The sequence below is a fragment of the Homo sapiens genome, chromosome 11, assembly GCF_000001405.40.
Source record: "Homo sapiens chromosome 11, GRCh38.p14 Primary Assembly".
Taxonomy (NCBI): Eukaryota; Metazoa; Chordata; class Mammalia; order Primates; family Hominidae; genus Homo; species Homo sapiens.
This window is the reverse complement of record NC_000011.10, coordinates 118829470-118849666: the sequence shown is the minus strand read 5'-3', so window position 1 is coordinate 118849666 and position 20197 is coordinate 118829470. Positions and strand designations below refer to the sequence as shown.

Sequence of the window (20197 nt, the reverse complement as noted above, 5' to 3'; positions counted from 1 at the left end):
TAGCTCATTTTTTTATTTCCTAAAAATATTTAAGTGAAAGCTTTTTTTTTTTTTTTTTTTTTTTTTGAGATGGGCTGGAGTGCAGTGGCTCAATCACAGCTCACCAAAACCTTGAACTCCTGGGCTCAAGTGATTCTCCCATTTCAGCCTCCCAAGCAGCTGGGACTATAGTCATGCAACATCACACCTGGCTAATTAAAAAAAAAATTATTTTTGGCCAGGCGCAGTGGCTCACGCCTGTAATCCCAGCACTTTGGGAGGCTGAGGTGGGCGGATCATGAGGTCAGGGGTTTGAGACCAGCCTGATCAACATGGTGAAACATGTCTCTACTAAAAATACAAAAATTAGCTGGGCGTGGTGGCAGGTGCCTGTTATCCCAACTATTTGGGAGGCTGAGGCAGGAGAATCACTTGAACCCAGGAGGCGGAGGTTGCAGTGAGCCGAGATCATACCATTGTACTCCAGCCTGGGCGACGAGAGCGAAACTCCGTCTCAAAAAAAAAATATTTTGTACAGACAGGGTCTTGCCATGTTGCTCAGGCTGGTCTTGAACTCCTGAGCTCAAGAGATCCTCCTGCCTTGGCTTCCCAAAAGGCTGGATTACAGGCATGAGCCACTGTACCTGGCCAACCGTGGTACTTGGTTTGCAATTGATCTATGAAATGCTTTCTACTCTATACCTTTTAGAAAAGACCACCAGATGCAGTTTTCTTTTAGTTGGCAGGGCTGCAGTACACCTTCATGTCGCTACCTCAGGGCTCCATGCACTCTCTAACCTCTGTCATAATCTGGTCTGAGGAGAGGAACATGTGGTGAGGAACTGAGGCATCCTGCCGAGAAGCAGCAACAACTTGTACTGTGTGCCTGGAGTCACAGCTGCTTGGGAGACTGAGGTGGGAAGATCACTTGAACTCAGGAGGTGGAGACTGCAGTGAACTATTGTGCTAATGCACTCCAGTCCTGGTGACACAGAAAGGTGCTATCTCAAAAAACAAAACACAACAGAAAAAGCGACCAAGTGCCATGGGATGTGTTGATTTGCTTTAGCGATGAAATTATACCTGGAACAGCAGCTGCAATTGGAGTTACAAGGCTGTGGATAACCCACTTTCATTCTCCTGTGTCCTTCAGTCTGCTGACAGGCAAACAGGTGATTTGAGCAGGGATATGGTAGGAATTACCACCTCTGTGTCTTTCAAGACCTTGTTAGTGGCACTAATCTCATCAAGCCTTCCAGAAATGTGATACTGTTTTTGGTTTACTATTTTAGTATGTAGACACAGTTCTAGTGGATTCCACTTGGCCTTTTTTATCATGATAGCCTTCGTGCCATGGGTCAGAGAACCAATACAAGAAGTCTACCAGTTGTTGCCGGGCGCGGTGGCTCATGCCTGTAATCCCAGCACTTTGGGAGGCTGAGGCAGGTGGATCACGAGGTCAGGAGATCGAGACCACCCTGGCTAATGCAGTGAAACCCCATCTCTACTAAAAATACAAAAAATTAGCCGGGCGTAGTGGCGGGCACCTGTAGTCCCAGCTACTTGGGCAGCTGAGGCAGGAGAACGGCATGAACCCGGGAGTCGGAGTTTGCAGTGAGCCGAGATTGCGCCACTGCACTCCAGCCTGGGTGACAGAGCGAGACTCCGTCTCAAAAAAAAAAAAAAAAAAAGAGTATGTTGTTGAGTATGTCTACTCATACACCTACTGAATATATCTAAACTGCAATGTATACCCACCTGTGCATTCTGGAACTGGGGAAATAATGATGCGATGAGTTCTGGGAACTACTGGGCTTGCTGTGAGATGGAGCCAAGCCAAAACTTCATAGATCATCTAACTTCCATGAGCCTCTGCTCTGACAATGGGACACAGTGCCATTTTGGTTCTCCGGGGATTAGCACCAGTTCAGAGCCGAGGTTTACTAACTCCTAAGTATCTGGTCATTTCTCCTTCTCAAAGCACAGTCACCCTGCGTTATGGCTTCAGGTCTCTTTGAGGAAATGCTAAGAAGATTTACCGTGTAACTTTTTGACAGTGTAGTAAATCCTTCCTCAAAGGATCTTTCCTTCATTCAAGGGGACTGGGTTTGGGGACTGTCTCTAATCTAAGAATTGATTGAAGGGCTCTTACTCTTTATTGTCAGAAGTCAGCCGGGTGCGGTGGCTGACGCCTGTAATCCCAGCACTTTGGGAGGCCGAGGGGGATGGATCACGAGGTCAGGAGTTGGAGACCAGCCTGGCCAACATGGTGAAACCCCGTCTCTACTAAAAATACAAAAATTAGCCGGGCGTGGTGGCGCGCGCCTGTAATCCCAGCTACTTGGGAGGCTGAGGCAGGAGAATCACCTGAACCTGGAAGATGGAGGTTGCAGTGAGCCGAGGTCTTGCCACTGCCTTCCAGCCTGGGCAACAGAGTGAGACTCTGTCCCAAGGGGAAAAAAAAAGCAAACTTCTAAAGCCATTCCCAAACAACTTGAACAGATACCTTAAATTCAGAATCTCTGCTTAGTACACATTTTGCTTCTTTAAATTTTTTTTTTACATTTATTTATTTTTATTTTTTTTTTAGAGACAGGATTTTTCTCTGTTGCTCAGGCTGAAGTGCAATGAATGGCATGAACCTAACTCTCACTGCAGCCTTGACCTCCTGGGCTCAGGCGATCCTTCTACCTCAGCCTCCTGAGTAGCTGGGACTACAGGTGTGCGCCACAATATATTCTTATAGAGATGAGGGTGTCACTATGTTGCTGGTATTAAACTCCTGGCCTCAAGTGTTCCTCCTGCTTTGGCCTCCCAAAGTGCTGGGATTCCAGGTGTGTGCCTGGCTGCTTTGCATTCTTTAATGAGATGGCCAGTCTCATAAAAGCTATGGCCACAAGAGACAGGAGAGGCTCAGGAAAACAGAGTTTATTGTACTCTTGGATCCTAGGGACAGGAAGCATGCAGGGCCCCAAGGAAAAGACACAGGGTGGTCAAAGGGCAGAAGACAGAAGTGTGGGGAAGGTTTAGGCTACTGCTCTTTGGGGTGGGGGGTTTTGAAGGAAAGGCAAGGTAGGGTGGGGTTGAACCTTTAGTATTGACTAGTTTGAATAATTTCAGTGGCTTTGGGGTATAGGTTGGTCCCTAATTGACTGGGACCTGGCCCTGGGCGGAGGAATTTTGCCTCTGGGGGTGTGTAGGACAGATAGAGGGGGTGTGGCTCTGGGGCTGGTTCATTTGCATATCAAAGACATGCTTCTGGCTGAGCTCTTTGCTATCTCTAAGAACTGGCTAGCCCAGGGAGGGGCAGTCTCTCCCCAGCCAGAAAGGTTTATTTTATTTTATTTTGTTTTCTCGTAGAGATGGGATCTTGCTATGTTGCTCAGGCTGGTCTCGAACTCCTGGCCTCAAGCAATCCTCTTGCTTCAGCCTCCCAAAGTGTTGGGATCACAAGTGTGAGCCACTGCACCTGGCTGATAAAGGCTTTTTAGGGTTTGCATTCTTATTAATAAATTCATCCAGGCCAGGCGTGGTGGCTCACCCTGTAATCCCAGCACTTTGGGAGGCCAAGGCGAGTGGATCACCTGAGGTCAGGAGTTTGAGAGCAGCCTGGCCAACATGGTGAAACCCCATCTCTATTAAAAATACAAAATTTAGCCGGGCATGGTGGCAGGCGCCTGTAATCCCATCTACTCAGGAGGCTGAGGCAGGAAAATCACTTGAACCCAGGAAGCAGAGGTTACAGTGAGCCAAGATTGTGCCACTGCACTCCAGCCTGGGCAACAGAGAGAAACTCTCTCTCAAAAAATAATAAATAAATACATAAATAAATTTATCCAAATCCAAAATTATATTTCTTCCATCCTGATCCCACTCTTTCAAGATCTATTCCCCTACCTATTCCCTGAGTTTCAGTCAGTATAAATCAGCATTTGAGGATCTTGGTAAAATATAAAAGGAATTGTTTGTACTATTCTTATAACTTTGCTGTAAATATGAAACTATGTCAAAAAAAAAACATGAAGCAATGTATACATTGACAAACTCTCAATATTCTTTTGGTTTGTATGGTATTTCCTCATGAGTCACCCTGGGGCCTGCTATGACTTGAATCTCTGAGCTTACAGATCTAAAAGAGGTGGAAGGGTTAGGTTCCTAGGAGGATCACAGTCCCCTGAAAGGCCACTAGCTCTGGGGAGGTCATCCCAGGTTCTTTAGGTAAGGGAAGATTAACTGCAGATAGAGAAGAAGGTCACTTTTTTTTGGCTAAGGAGGGTTAGCTGAATTTAGGGTTTAAGGCAGGGGTGTCCAATCTTTTGGCTTCCCTGGGGCACATTGAAAGAATTGTCTTGGGCCACACTTAAAATACACTAACAATAGCTGATGAGCTAAAAAAAAAAAAAGAAAAAGAAAAAGAAAGAAAAAGATCACAAAAAACCTCATAATGTTTTTTATTGTTGTTGTTGTGGTTTTTGTTTTTTGTTTTTGTTTTTTCTTTTGAGGCACAGTTTTACTCTTGTTGCCCAGGCTGGAATGCAGTGGTGCTGTCTTGGCTCACTGCAACCTCAGCCTCCCGGGTTCAAGCGATTCTCCTGCCTCAGCCTCCCAAGTAGCTGGGATCACAGGCGACCGCCACCACGCCTGGCTAATTTTTGTATTTTTAGTGGAGAGAGGGTTTCACCATGTTGGCCAGGCTAGTCTCGAACTCCTGACCTTAGGTGATCCACCCGCCTCGGCCTCCCAAAGTGCTGTGATTACAGGTGTGACCCACTGCGCCTGGCCAAAGCTCATAATGAAAGTTTATGGCCGAGTGTGGTGGCTCAAGCCTATAATCCCAGGACTTTGGGAGGTTGAGGCGGGTGATCACCTGAGGTCAGGAGTTCGAGATCAGCCTGGCCAACATGGTGAAACCCCATATCTACTAAAAATACAAAAAAAATAGCTGGGTGTGGTGGTGCGTGCCTGTAATCCCATCTACTCAGGAGGCTGAGGCAGGAAAATCACTTGCACCTAAGAAGCAGAGGTTGCAGTGAGCCAAGATCGTGCCACTGCACTCCAGCCTGGGTGACAGAGGGAGACTCTGTCCAAAAAAAAAAAAAAAAAAAAGAAAGTTTATGAATTTGTGTTGGGCACATTCAAAGCCATCCTGGGCCACATGCAGCCTGCAGGGCCACAGGTTGGTCAAGCTTGGTTTAAGGTCTTTGACCTCATAGGAATCCATCCGTATGTCTGTATCCTAAGACTCAGGGTCTTACTCCTTTCCAATCAATGTCTTATTTTGAACATAAGACACCCTGGTAGGTTATGAATTCACTTTGCGTTGAAATTCAGTCTGCTGCAAGTGGACACTTAGTGTTTGGTGATCAGAAATCTTGACCTTGAGGCTATCAGAGATGAGAGTTTTTTTTAAAGGCAGTCTTCAAGTTTTTTGGTCCATTTTCCAGAACTTGAGATGGAAATTTAAAGCCTTTAGCTCATCATTTTCTTTCTCCAAACTTTCCCCATATGTAGAAGCAACCAACATTCCTCATTACATTCCTATTTCTACTAAAATGTTCTACAGCAGCAAATATTTGGCTACCCAAAGCTTTGCCGTCTATAAGCATGTATCACAAGTGATTACAGGTAGAGTTTAAGAATTTAAGTTTACTGCTGGCAACAATCATGAATGCACTTAAGTTTAATCAGGTCAGAGAACCAGTTTCCAATTCCTATCCTTAATGATCTGTCCCCTGAAACCACGGCCAGTACCAGTAAGTGTATCAGTCAGGGAGGTAGAACCTTCATGAATGATGAGATAAGGAATTTATTATGGGAACTATGCTTTACACAATTGTAGAAGAAGCTGGGGAAAGGAAAGACCAAGAGGTTAGTCAGAGAATCAAAAGAGGAGTCACCAATGTGGGGAGGGAAGTGCATCTGGCCACTGACATGGGGCTGTGATGAGAAGGCTCCTGGAGAGCCATCTGGGCAGCCGCCACCTCTGTGGATCCATCACCAAGTGTCTGGTGGTCACTGGTGGTCAACAGGGTCAGGAATTGGAAAGCATTTCTGGACACTGATCAGAGCAAAGCAAGGACAAGCTAGAGCTCACTAACACTTCTGTCACCACATCTAACCACAATGACATTTAGAGAATAATACTTGTGGCTAGGTGTGGTGGCCCACGCCTGTAATCCCAGCACTTTGGGAGGCTGAGGCGGGTGGATCACGAGGTCAGAAGTTTGAGACCAGCCTGGCCAATTTGGTGAAACCTCATTTTTACTTAAAAAACAAAAATTAGCTGGGTGTTTTGGGGCATGCCTGTTGTCCCAGCTAATCGGGGGGGTTCATTTTTGCCTTTTTTTTTTTTTGAGACAGAGTCTCGCTGTGTCTCCCATGCTGGAGTGCAGTGGCATAGTCTTGGCTCACTGCAACCTCCACCTCCCAGGTTCAAGCGATTCTCCTGCCTCAGCCTCCCGAGTATCTGGGATTACAGGCGCCTGCCACCACACCTGGCTAATTTTTTGTATTTTTAGTAGAGATGGAGTTTCACCGTGTTGGCCAGGCTGGTCTCGAACTCCTGACCTGGTGATCCACTGCCTCAGCCTCCCAAAGTGCTGGGATTATAGGCCTGAGTCACCATGCTGGGATTACAGGCGTGAGCCACCATGCCCAGCCCTTAATGTTATTTTTATGTTTGATAACGGCATTGTGGTTATGTAAGATAATGTCATTCTTAGGAGTTGGGGTTTAAATATTTAGGGGTGAAACTTCAAATGGCTTTGCATTTGTTTATTTGTATTACATATCTAGTGAATACAACAAAATGTTCAATCGTTGAATCTAGGTGGTGGATCTGCAGATGTTTCAACCTTTCAGTTATGTTTGACATTTTTTAATAATAAAGTAACAGGGAAAATAAAAGACTCCTCTCGATTCTTACCTTCTCTGGAAGGCTTTCCTACCCACCTCCTGTTACTGCTTTAAAGTCTGTGCTGTCCATCCTTTTTCTTTCCAAGGTATAGCTCTGTGGCATATATCATACTGTACTTTAATTTCTTGTTTTCTGGTCTCTCTGTAAACTTTGAAGTCCTTAAAGGGCAACATGCTCTCTTTCATCTGTAACTGTCCAGCATTTATTCCTGTACCTGGCACAGGATTGGGTGACTCATTCATCCTCGTTCAGTCAAGAACAGAAGAAAGTCTAATTTAGGAATTTTCTTCAGGGCTACCAATTCAAGTGACTCCAAGAAGAGCAACGGTTTGAGGTTTTTAATTTTTGTTTCACATTATAGAAGTGATGCTTGCAAATTAAAATACTTTTAAAACAAACTAAAAAGTAGAGTTATTTCATTCCTGTCATATACACACTTGTTAGAGTTGAGTTTACCATGTATCCTTCCAGAACTATATCTATGCAATTATAAACACACACACGCAAAACACTACTATAAATGTTGTCTGGAGACTTACTTTTTAAAAATCTAATAATATATTATGGAGCTTACCATATTTGTATATAAATAGATCTGCATCATTCTTTACACAGGCTATGTAGTAATTGTATGGCTGTGCATTGATTTTGTTTCACTACTGCATTTGAATAAGCGTATAGGTAGAGAAGCAGTCTCTACATGAAATGGCTAACCCAGACAAAAAGGGATTTGGCAACCACTAGCCCAGACAAAAAGGGATTTAGCCTTGAACTGTGGGTACAAAGTCAGTGTAAACTGGCAAGGAAGGGAATTTACCAAACGTTTCAGCTTACAGAGTCCTGGTCTGTTCAAGAAACAAAATAGAGATCATGGAAGAGAAAGAACCAAGTATGAAATTGAATGGAGCCAACTGACAAGTGTGAGACCTGTAATCACCTAATTTGTGTATGCCGTTACCTTCCTACTATATGAGCATAGTCCCTGCACCCTGAGGCAGCCAAGACATGACACAGCCTCTAGGAACAAGTGAAAGTGGCAAGTGTATGGGCCCTGGTTCATCTTGGACGAGAAAGTCCCACTGGCTTCCCAATGACAACAGAAAGTTACCCAAGCAAGTGTGGGTGAAATCCCACTAATGTTTCTAGAGCCAGCCAGTCTCATCATGGGTGCCCCCACTGCTTTCGCTTTCCCCAGCCACTTCTTACGCACGAAAACACGCCTCTTCTGCTGGGAAGCCCTCCCTCCTTTCTGAGAGTCCTCACCCACCCCAACTATCCAATCTCATTTCCCTCTTAGTTTCTTTTCTTTCTTTCTTTCTTTTTTTCAGACAGAGTCTCTGTCACTCAGGATGGGATGCAGTGGCATAATCTCAGCTCTCTGTAACCTCCACCTCCTGGTTTGAAGTGATTCTCCTGCCTCAGCCTCCCGAGTAGTTAGGATTACAGGCGTGTCCCACCAAGCCTGGCTAACTTTTGTATTTTGGGTAGAGATGCGGTTTTACCATGTTAGCCAGACTGGTCTTGAATTCCTGGCCTCAAGTGATCCACCCTCCTTGGCCTCTGAAAGTGCTGGGATTACAAGCATGAGACACCACGCCCGGCCTTATTTCCCTCTTAGTTTCTTTTTCTTTTCTTTTTTTTTTTTTGAGACGGCGTTTCGCTCTTTTTGCCCAGGCTGGGTGCAATGGCACGATCTTGGCTCACCGCAACCTCCGCCTCCTGGGTTCAAGCGATTCTCCTGCCTCAGCCTCCCGAGTAACTGGGATCATAGGCATGCGCCACCACCCCAGCTAATTTTGTATTTTTAGTAGAGACGGGGTTTCTCCATGTTGGTCAGGCTGGTCTTGAACTCCTGACCTCAGGTGATCCACCTGCCTCGGCCTCCCAAAGTGCTGGGATTACAGGCGTGAGCCACTGCGCCCGGTTCCTTCTTAGTTTCTAATACCCATCCTGTTAGCTCAGACTGTTACTGTGTCAACAAAATGATGATGGAGCGCATTGAGACTATTAAAATGGGTTGTATAATCATTGCATGCCTATATCAAAACATCTCATGTATCCCATAAATATATACACCTACTATGTACCCACAAAAATTAAAATTAAAAATTTATTTAAACAATTAAAACTTTTTTTAAAAAAGAGTTGTAATATCCTGATGGTGTTGCCCACTCCAAAACATAGCATGAACCCATCCCTGTCAATTCGCCTTCACTGCCATGTCAGAAGTATGTGCTCATGGCCCTGTCTGCTGCTAAGCACAGGCATTTCTGCAAGTAAAATAAATAGTAATGAGTTTATATGCACAGTTTGCTTTATATAAATCCAATGAGTGGTGATCCAAGAAGTAACAAATTTTGGTAAATACAAAAATTGGGAATTTTAATCTGGGATTCTGTATAGTGTTAGGAGAGCTCAATGTTAGATTATTTGAATGCTAGTCAATAATGCTCATTGGCAATTTTTATTTTATTTATTTATTTATTTATTTATTTATTTATTTATTTATTTTTGAGATGGATCTTGCTCTGTCGCCCAGGCTGGAGTGCAGTGGCGCGATCTCGGCTCACTGCAAGCTCTGCCTCCTGGGTTCACGCCATTCTCCTGCCTCAGCCTCCCGAGTAGCTGGGACTACAGGCACCCGCCACCACGCCCGGCTAATTTTTTGTATTTTTAGTAGAGACGGGGTTTCACGGGGTTAGCCAGGATGGTCTCGATCTCTTGACCTTGTGATCCGCCCGCCTCAGCCTCCCAAAGGGCTGGGATTACAGGCGTGAGCCACCGCGCCCAGCCTGCATGTTTATGTTTTTTATTTTAAGAATGTTAACTTTTTTGGCTGGGCACAGTGACTCATGCCTTTAATTCCAGCACTTTGGGAGGGAGGTTGAGGCGGGAGAATCGCTCGAACCCACAAGGCAGAGGTTGCAGTGAGCTGAGATCGCAACACTGCACTCCAGCCTAGGTGACAGAGAGAGACCATGTCTCAAAAAAATTTAAAAATTAAAAAAAGTCTTTTTCTTTGACAATCTTGCATACTAACATTTAAAACATTAAATAAAGTGTTATGAAAATACGGAATAGTTTTTAATATCAAGAATTTCTGAGAATTCCTGGGAATTTCTATTTTATTCCCAAATCCTAAAAATTGGCCATAAAATGATAATTTGAAGCCATTGATGGGTATTTTGGGTGCTATAATATAACCGTGTCTATTCTCATATAAGTTAAAAAAAAGTTTTTTTTCAGTCGGAGTCTCACTCTGTTGCCCAGGCTGGAGTGCAGTGGCACGATTTTGCCTCACTGCAACCTCTGCCCCCCTGCTTCATGTGATTCTCGTACCTCAGCCTCCTGAGTAGCTGGGATTACAGGTGCCTGCTGACACATCAGGCTAATTTTTTCATTTTTACTAGAGACAGGATTTCACCATGTTGGCCAGCTGGTTTCAAACTCCTGACCTCAACTGATTTGCCTGCCTTGGCCTCCCGAAGTGCTAGGGTTACAGGCATGAGCCACTGCCTATGTTTAAATTTTTCCAAACCAAAACTGGATCATTTGGGCTACATTCCTGCACAAACTACTTTGATGACTTTCTAGCACCCCTAGGATAAAAGCCAACCTCTTTGTGCCCTTTAAAGCTTGCATAATTTTGACCTGTTCACCCTCCAGCTCCAACTCTCACTCTCCTACTGCTTTCCAGTGACATCAGCCTTCTCTCAGTTCCTCAAACTCATCACTTTCCTGACTCAAGGTCTTTGCCCATGCTGTTTACTCTGCTCAGAATATTTTTCAGCCCAGCACTTTGGGAGGCTGAGGCAGGTGGATCACATGAGGCCAGGAGTTTGAGACCAGCCTGGCCAATATGGTGAAACCCTGTCTCTACTAAAAATAAAAAAATTAGCTGGGTATGGTGATGCATGCCTGTAATCTCAGCTACTCAGAAGGCTGAGGCGGGAGAATCACTTGAAGCTGGGAGGTGGAGATTGCAGTGAGCCGAGATCGAGCCATTGCACTCCAGCCTGGGCGACAGAGCGAGACTCCATTGCAGAAAAAAAAAAAAAAACTCTTGGTCGGGCGTGGTGGCTCATGCCTGTAATCCCAGCACTTTGGGAGGCCTAGGCGGGTGGATCACAAGGTCAAGAGTTCAAGACCAGCCTGGCCAATATGGTGAAACCCCGTTTTTACTAAAAATACAAAAATTAGCCAGGCGTGGTGACGTGTGCCTGTAATCTCAGCTACTTGGGAGGCTGAGGCAGGAGAATTGCTTGAACCCAGGAGGTGGAGGTTGCAGTGAGCTGAAATCGTGCCATTGCACTCCAGCCTGGGCAACAGAGCGAGACTCTGTCTCAAAAAAAAGAATACTCTTTCTGCTACTACTTCCCTGGCTAACTCTTACTTATCTTTATTTTATTTTATTATTTATTTATTTATTTATTTTTGAGACGGAATCTCACTCTGTCGCCCAGGCTGGAGTGCAGTGGTGCGATCTTGGCTCACTGCAACCTCTGCCTCTCGAGTTCAAGCAATTCTTTTGCCTCAGCCTCCCGAGTAGCTGGGACTGCAGGCATGCACCACCAGGCCCGGCTATTTTTTTTTTATTTTTTATTTTTAGTAGAGATAGGGTTTCACCATATTGGCCAGGCGAGTCTCAAACTCCTGACCTCATGATCCACCCACCTCGGCCTCCCAAAGTGCTGGGATTGCAGGTTTGAGCCACCACGCCCGGCCTCTTACTTATCTTTAAATAGGAGTTCCTCTTAAAGGCTTTCCTTAGACCAACCTTCTGCCTGCTGCCAAATCTAAATCAGATCTTCCTGTGAAACTCTCCCACCATTCTACCATCCTTCATACCCCTTCTCACAGTTTATAGTGGTATATTTATTCACGTGCTTATTGGTTTAACAATTGTCCCTCACTACATTGTAAGGGAAGGGGGGATGTCCTTTTGGTTCACCCCTATTGTATCTATCTACACTCTTAGCACAATGCTGGGTACGAAATTGGCCCTCGGTAACTACTAGTGTAAACAATCTGACTGTGCAAGGGAGACAGATACTTTGACAAGAAGGAAATAAAGTTCAGCAAAATTGCTCTTAGTGAATATGTGACAGCTCTCAGAACCACCAAATTTTTTTTGTGTTGCCCACAAATTCCATTCTAGAATTTCACTTAAGATCAACATTGGCCGGGCGCGGTGGCTCACGCCTGTAATCCCAGAACTTTGGGAGGCCGAGGCGGGCGGATCACGAGGTCAGGAGATCGAGACCATCCCGGCTAAAACGGTGAAACCCCGTCTCTACTGAAAATACAAAAAATTAGCCGGGCGTAGTGGCGGGCGCCTGTAGTCCCAGCTACTTGGGAGGCTGAGGCAGGAGAATGGCGTGAACCCGGGAGGCGGAGCTTGCAGTGAGCCGAGATCCCGCCACTGCACTCCAGCCTGGGCGACAGAGCGAGACTCCGTCTCAAAAAAAAAAAAAAAAAAAAAAAAAAGATCAACATTGAGCTTGCCATTTGTCATTTCTGGAGTCTACCTCTCTCATTCTTCTTATTCTTTTTTTCTGAGACAGGGTCTCACTATGTCACCCAGGCTGGAGTACAGTGATACGAACATGGCTTACTGCAGCCTTGACCTCCGGGTTCAATCAATCCTCATGCCTCAGCCTCCCATGTAGCTGGGACCACAGATGCCCACCACCACACCTGGCTAATTTTTTTTTTTTTTTTTTTTTTTTTTTTTTGTAGAGAAGGGGTTTTGCCATATTGCCCAGGCTGGTCTCAAATTCCTGGGCTCAAGCGATCTGCCCACTTCAGCCTCCCAAAGTGCTGGGGTTACAGTGTGTGCCATTGCGCCTGGCCCCTTTCTTCTTTTTTGTTTTATTTTGTTTTGCTTTTTTCAGACAGAGTCTCACTCTGTCACCCAGGCTGGAGTGCAGTGGCATGATCTTGGCTTCCTGAAACCCCTGCCTCCTGGGCTTAAGCAATTCTTGAGCCTCAGCCTCCCAAGTAGCTGGGATTACAGGTGCATGCCACCACGCCTGGCTAATTTTTGTATTTTTAGTGGAGACGGGGTTTCATCATGTTAGTCAGGCTGGTCTCGAACTCCTGACCTCAAATGATCCACCCGCCTTGGCCTCCCAAAGTGCTGGGATTACAGGCATAAGCCGCTGCGCCTGGCCCCTTTCTTCTTCTTCTTCTTCTTTTTTTTTTTTTTTTTTGGATTGGAGATAGAGTCTAGCTCTGTCGCCCAGGCTGGAGTGCAGTGGCACGATCTTGGCTCACTGCAACCTTTGCCTCCTGGGTTCAAGCAATTCTCCTGCCTCAGCCCCCGGAGTAGCTGGGATTACAGGTGCCCGCCAGAACGCCCGGCTAATTTTTTGTATTTTTAGTAGAGACGGGGTTTCACCGTGTTAGCCAGGACGGTCTTCATCTCCTCACCTCGTGATCCCCCCGCCTTGGCCTCCCAAAGTGCTGGGATTACAGGCCTGAGCCACAGCGCCCGGCCTAGCCCCTTTCTTCTTAACAACGTTAAATAAAAAACTGATCCTCTAAGGCTGGCAACGGAGGGAAAAAGCAGCTCAGGAGAATTAACAGGCGTAGCAGCCAATTGCTATGTGTGGAACTGATTTGCCTAGAATTCCATGGTTTTTTGTTGTTGTTGTTGTTGTTTGGCTAGTCAAGTGAAGCAGTAGGGAGTGGAGAAGGAATAAATAAATCTGTGACTGGTTGTGATAAATTAGTTGTAACACCACTGCACTTGGACCATCTCCAGGCTGGCGTGCAGCGGCAAGATCTTGGCTCACTGCAAGCTCCGCCTCCTGGGTTCACGCCATTCAGCTGCCTCAGCCTCCCGAGTAGCTGGGACTAAAGGCCCTTGCCACCATGCCCAGCTAGTTTTTGTATTTTTAGTAGAGACAGGGTTTCACCGTGTTAGCCAGGATGGTCTCAATCTCCTGACCTAGTGATCCGCCTGCCTCGGCCTCCCAAAGTGCTGGAATTACAGGCGTGAGCCACCACGCTAGGCCCTGTAGTTTATATTTAATGTGTTTATTTTTAGAGACAGAGTCTTGCTTTGTCACCCAGGCTGGAGTGTAGTGGCAGGATCAGGGCTCACTGCAGCCTGGAACTCCTGGGCCCAAATGATCTTCCTACTTCAGCCTCCTGAGTAGCTGGGATGACAGGATTGCAACACCATGCCTGGCTAACTTTTTACTTTTTAAAGAGATGGGGTCTCACTATGTTGCCCAGGATGGTGTCAAACTCCTGGACTCAAGCAATTCTCCTGCCTCAGCCTCCCAAGGTACTGAGCTTATAGGTGTCAGCCACCGTGCCTGGCAGCCCCAAGTTTTGACTCTTATCCCAAGATTTAGTTTTTGGTCCAAGTAAAAGAGGGCACTTCGTTATTGTTTCTACAGACATTGAAAAGATAATAGAACATTATGAACAACTTTTTATCAATATAAATTTAACAACATAAATGAAATGAATAAATTCCTGGAAGGACACAAATGACCACACTGACTCAAGAAGAAATAAAATATCTGAGTAGTCCTATATCAATTAAATAAACTGGATTTGAAATTTAAAATCTTAGGCCCTGGTGAGTTAATTGTTAACAAAATATTAGCAAATTGAACTCAGCAATATGTAAAAAGGATAACACAGCCTTCCAAAGTGAGTTTATTCTAGGAATGCAAGCTGGGTTTAACATTTGAAAATCAATTAACGTAATTCGCCATGTTAATAGAATAAAGGAGAAAAACCATATGATTATCTCAGATGCATAAAAAACATTTAACCAAATTCAAAACCAAAATTTGTAACAATAACAATGAAAACCTCCCAAAACCCAAACTTTCACCAAGACTTTTTTGCCCACGATTCACCTTGTACCCTTACTTCCCCACTTTCTACTGTGCACCAGGGATCTCTCTCCGTGGTCAACCCTGGAGGAGTCAACACTCAACCTTAAACAAATATTTGGGGCCTGTTAGGAGCTGAGGGTACTGTCGTGAATACACAGATGAGGTCCCTACCTTTTAGAATTTATCTTCTTGGAAATAGGCTTGATTTTATTAAGGGTTCTGGAAGGACTCCTTTCACTTTCATTCTATCCATACCACTTTAAAAAAATCTGTGGGTGGTTTTCTGAGCTTCATTCTGTTGAGCAATGAGACTCGTGGTCTGGTTGTTGGACTTTTCTAGCAGCACGGCCCTGAAATGCCAGTCTCTACTACTGCCTCAAAAGAAGAAACCAAGTCTGCCTTGTGCTCTGAGACCAGAGAAGACATCCATCTCTCTGGGCTTGCAGAAGAAGACAGAAAAAAACCAGCGGAAGCAACTGAACTTATTGATAAAGTACAAAATGAAATAGACTTAATGAACAAGCCAGTGAGGAGATTTTGAAGCTAGAAAAAGAAATATGGCAAACTCCGCCAACCATTTTTTCCAAAGAGATCAGAGTTGATTGCCAAAATCCCAAATTTTGGGGTAACAATATTTGTCAACCATCCACAAGTGTTTACACTGCTTAGGGAGGAGGATAAAGAGGCACTGCATTATTTGACCAGAGTTGAATTGACAGAATATGAAGATATTTATTAGATTACAGAATAGATGTTTGTTTTGATGAAAATTCTTACTATGAAAATAAAGTTCTCCAAAGAATTTCACCTGAATGAGAGTGGTGATCCATCTTCAAAGTCCACTGCAATCAAATGGAAATCTGGAGGGGATTTGATAAAGCATTCAAGTCAGACACAGAATACAGCCAGAGTGAGGAATTGGAGAGCTTTTTTACCTGGTTCACTGATCATTCTGATGCGGGTGCTGGAGAGTTAGGAGAGGTCATCAAAGATGATATTTGGCCAAACTCATTACAGCTCTACTTGGTTCCTGATACGGATGATAAAGAAAAAGAAGAAGATGATGATGATGAAGGGTTGGAAGATACTGACAAAGGAGAGGAGGATGAAAGAGGAGATGGCTAATAGAACACTGATGGATTCCAACCTTCCTTTTAAAAAATGTTCCCCATTTTCTGGGATCAAGTTGCGGTCTTTTTGTTTTTTCCCTCTTGTGCCCAGTCACACTGTTCCTGAGGTTTCTTTTATTTATACCATGGGTGTTATTTTGGGGGGATGCACCTTGAGCAGAACAGAGTGGGAAAAGAGTCTATCCCTTTCCATCCCAAATTCATTTTTATCCCTTCCTGTCTGAACAAAAACTGTACGGAATCAACACCACCAAGCTCTGTGGAAGAAAAGAAAAACCTACTTCCTTCGCTCTGCTGGAAGCTCGGGGGTGCTAGGCCCCTATGTAGTTATGCTTAGAATTCTTGCTTTTTTCCTCCTTTCTCTGTGTATTGGGCTCAGAGAGTTCACTGTGTCTCTATGTGAACATGGACAGTTAGCATTTACCAACATGTATCCATCTACTTTCTCTTGTTTAAAAAAAGGAAAAAAAGGCCAGGAGAAGGGAGTTAAATGTGAATTGAGACTGGGCGCGGTGGCTCACATCTGTAATTCCGGCACTTTGGGAGGCTAAGGTGGGTGGATCACTTGAGGTCAGGAGTTTGAGACCAGCCTGGCCAAAATGGTGAAACCCTGTCTCTACTAAAAATACAAAAATTAGCCGGGCATGGTGGCGGATGCTTGTAATCCCTGCTACACAGGAGGCTCGGGCAGGAGAATCATTTAAACCTGGGAGGTGGAGGTTGCAATGAGCCGAGATTGTGCCACTGCACTCCAGCCTGGGGAAAAGAGTGAGACTGTATCTCATTAAAAAAAAAGGGAGAAAAAAACCTTTAAAAAACAGGGTTATAGAAAATCAGCAAAGGGAGAATTTGAGATATTTCGGTGGGTTAAGTAGGCATTTTGACAACATGGCTTCTCCTTTGGCATATTTAATGATATTGTTTAACAGACATTGTTAAGATAACACTTTTATTTTGAGATGGAGTTTCACTGTGTCGCCCAGGCTGGAGTGCAGTGACATGATATCAGCTCACTGCAACCTCTGCCTCTTGGGTTCAAGTGATTCTCCTGCCTCAACCTCCTGAGTAGCTGGCTGGCATTACAGGCATGCACAACCATGCCAGGCTAATTTTTGATTTTTTTTTTTTTTTTGAGACGGAGTCTCACTCTGTCACCAGGCTAGGGTGCACTGGCACAACCTTGGCTCACTGCAACCTCCACCTCCCGGGTTCAAGCTATTCTCCCGCCTCAGCCTCCCCAGTAGCTGGGACTATAGGCGCATGCCACGCCCAGCTAATTTTTGTATTTTTAGTAGAGATCACCAACTTGGCCAGGCTGGTCTCGAACTCCTGACCTCAGATAATCTGCCCACCTTGGCCTCCCAAAGTGCTAGGATTACAAGCGTGAGCCACGACGCCTGGCCAAGATAACACTTTTAAAATAAAGTTTTACATTTATTTATTTATTTAGAGATGGAGTCTCACTCTGTCGCCCAGGCTGGAGTGCAGTGATGTGATCTCAGTTCATTGCAACCTCCGTCTCCTGAGTTCAAGCTATTCTTCTGCCTCAGCCTCCCGAGTAGCTGGGACTACAGGCATGTGTCACCACGCCTGGCTAATTTTTGTATTTTTAGTAGAGACGGAGTTTCACCATATTGGCCAGGCTGGTCTCAAACTCCTGACCTCATGATCCACCTGCCTCGGCCTCCCAAAGTGCTGGGATTACAAGTGTGAGCCACCGTGCCTGGCCTACTTACTTCTTTTTTTGATACAAGATCTTGCTCTGTCACCTAGGCTAGAGTGCAATAAGGCAATCACAGCTCACTGAAGCCTCAACCTCCCAGGCTCAATCCATCCTCCAACCTCAGCCTCCCTAGTAGCTGGGAGTACAGGTGTGTGCCACCATGCCTGGCTAATTTTTGTATTTTTTGTAGAGATGGAGTTTCACCATGTTGCCCAGGCTGATCTCAAACCCCTGAACTCAAGCCATCTTCCAGCTGGGGCCTCCCAAAGGGCTGGGATTACAGCAGGTAGCCACAACCCCTGGCCCAGATGCTCAGTTTTAAACGTTAAAAATGTACAAGTTGCCTTGTGGCCAGGCGCAGTGGCTCACACCTGCAATCCCAGCACTTTGGGAGGCCAAGGAGGGTGGATTAACTGAGGTCAGGAGTTTGGGACCAGCTTGGCCAACATGGCGAAATCCTGTCTCTACTAAAAATAAAAATAAAAATAAAAATAAATTGGCCAGGTGTGGTGGCGTGCACCTGCAGTCCCAGCTACTGGGGAGGCTGAGGCAGTAGAATCACTTGAACCCGGGAGGCAAAGGCTGCAGTGAGCTGAGATCATGCCACTGCACTCCAGCCAGGGCAACAGAGTGAGACTGTCTCAAAAACAAAAACAAAAACAAAACAAAACAAAAATGTACAAGTTGGTTTGTTACAATAAAACTAAACATATACAAACACACAAAATAAATAAATCCACGTTTGGGGGCTGGGTGCGGTGGCTGATGCTTGTAATCCCAGCACTTTGGGAGGCCGAAGTGGGTGGATCATGAGGTCAAGAGATCGAGACCATTCTGGCCAAAATGGTGAAACCCCCATCTCTACTAAAATTACAAAAATTAGCTGGACGTGGTGGCACATGCCTGTAGTCCCAGCTACTCGGGAGGCTGAGGCAGGAGAATCGCTTGAACCTGGGAGGCAGAGGTTGCAGTAAGTCGGGATCATGCCACTGGACTCCATCCTGGGGGACAGAGTGAGACTCCATCTCAAAAAAAAAAAAATCCATGTGTACTTGTCTCCAAAACTTTTCTTCTCTCACCCAATTCTCCATAATTTCTCATAAATTAGTTTAAATAATTACTACACCTACAAGTTCTTTCAGTGCCCTAGGAGGTAATTTATCTGGGCCCAAGAGTCTTGAACTCCTTGAAATACACAGAGGCTCACTTACTATCTTTCCCACACTTTGGGCTTCAGTTTACATTTAACTCCTTTCTCCTGGCTCCATGTGCCCAAGCACTAGATTAATATCTTACCTACTTGCTCTAAACTATGAAATCCAGCTTCATTGAAGTAGAATTCACATATTATTTAAGTTTGTTTTTTTTTTTTTCTGAGACAGCATGTCACTCTGTCTCCCAGGCTGGAGTGCAGTGGTACGGTCAAAGCTCACTGCAGCCTCAATCACCTGGGCTCAAGCAATCCTCCTGCCTCCTTCCAAGTAGCTGGGACTACAGATGCATACACTATCATGCACAGCTAATTTTGTTTTTTTAGTAGAGATGGGGTCTCACTACGTTGCCTAGGCTGGTCTCAAACTCCTGGGCTCAAGTGATTCTCCCACCTCAGCCTCCCCAACTGCTGGGCTTACAGGCATGAGACACTGTGCCTGGTCCATCACATATCATTTAAAGAATACACATACTTGGCTGGGCGCGGTGGCTCATGCCTGTAATCCCAGCACGTTGGGAGGCCGAGGCAGGTGGATCACGAGGTCAGGAGATCAAGACCATCCTGGCTAACATGGTGAAACCCTGTCTCTACTAAAAATACAAAAAATTAGCCGGGCGTGGTGGCAGGTGCCTGCAGTCCCAGATACTTGGGAGGCTGAGGCAGGAGAATGGCGTGAACCCGGGAGGCGGAGCTTGCAGTGAGCAGAGATCTCACCACTGCACTCCAGCCTGAGCGACAGAGTGAGACTCCGTCTCAAAGAAAAAAAAAAGAATACACATATTCAAGTGTACAATTCAATCTTTTTTTTTTTTTTTTTTTTTTTGAGACAGAGTCTTTCTTGTTGCCCAGACTGGAGCACAATGGCGTGATCACAGCTCACTGAAACCTCCGCCTCCCAGATTCAAGTGATTCTCCCACCTCAGCCTCCCAAGTAGCTGGGACTACAGGCACCCACCATCATGCCCGGCTAATTTTTGTGTTTTTAGTAGAGACGGGGTTTCACCATGTTGGCCAGGCTGGTCTTGAACTGCTGACCTCAGGTGATCCACCCGCCTCAGCCTCCCAAAGTGCTGGGATTACAGGCATGAGCCACTGCACCCAGCGATCATTAACTTTTTTTTTTTTTTGAGGCAGTGTCTCACTCTGTCGCCCAGGCTGGAGTGCAGTGGCAAGATCTCAGCTCACTGCAACCTCCACATCCTGGTTCAAGCAATTCTCCCACCTCAGCTTCCTGAGTAGTTGGGGCTTCAGGTGTGCACCATCACACCTGGCTAATTTTTTTGTATTTTTTGGTAGAGACAGGATTTCGCCATTTTGGTCAGGCTGGTCTTGAACTCCTCAGGTGATCTGACCTCCTCAGCCTCCCAAAGTGTTGGG

General features: G+C 45.4%; 1 pseudogene, besides 2 other annotated features; it reads left to right on the top strand.

The window, feature by feature from the left end:
• Window positions 8126-8175: an enhancer, noted in NCBI's record as "active region_5603". NCBI's record gives its function as "activates an Ori minimal core promoter by ATAC-STARR-seq in GM12878 lymphoblastoid cells {active_cell/tissue: GM12878}" and the evidence as "EXISTENCE:reporter gene assay evidence [ECO:0000049][PMID:35858748]".
• Window positions 10269-10378: an enhancer, noted in NCBI's record as "active region_5602". NCBI's record gives its function as "activates an Ori minimal core promoter by ATAC-STARR-seq in GM12878 lymphoblastoid cells {active_cell/tissue: GM12878}" and the evidence as "EXISTENCE:reporter gene assay evidence [ECO:0000049][PMID:35858748]".
• Window positions 15055-16060, top strand: SETP16 (SET pseudogene 16; annotated as a pseudogene).
• Window positions 16061-20197: the final 4137 nt, after the last annotated feature.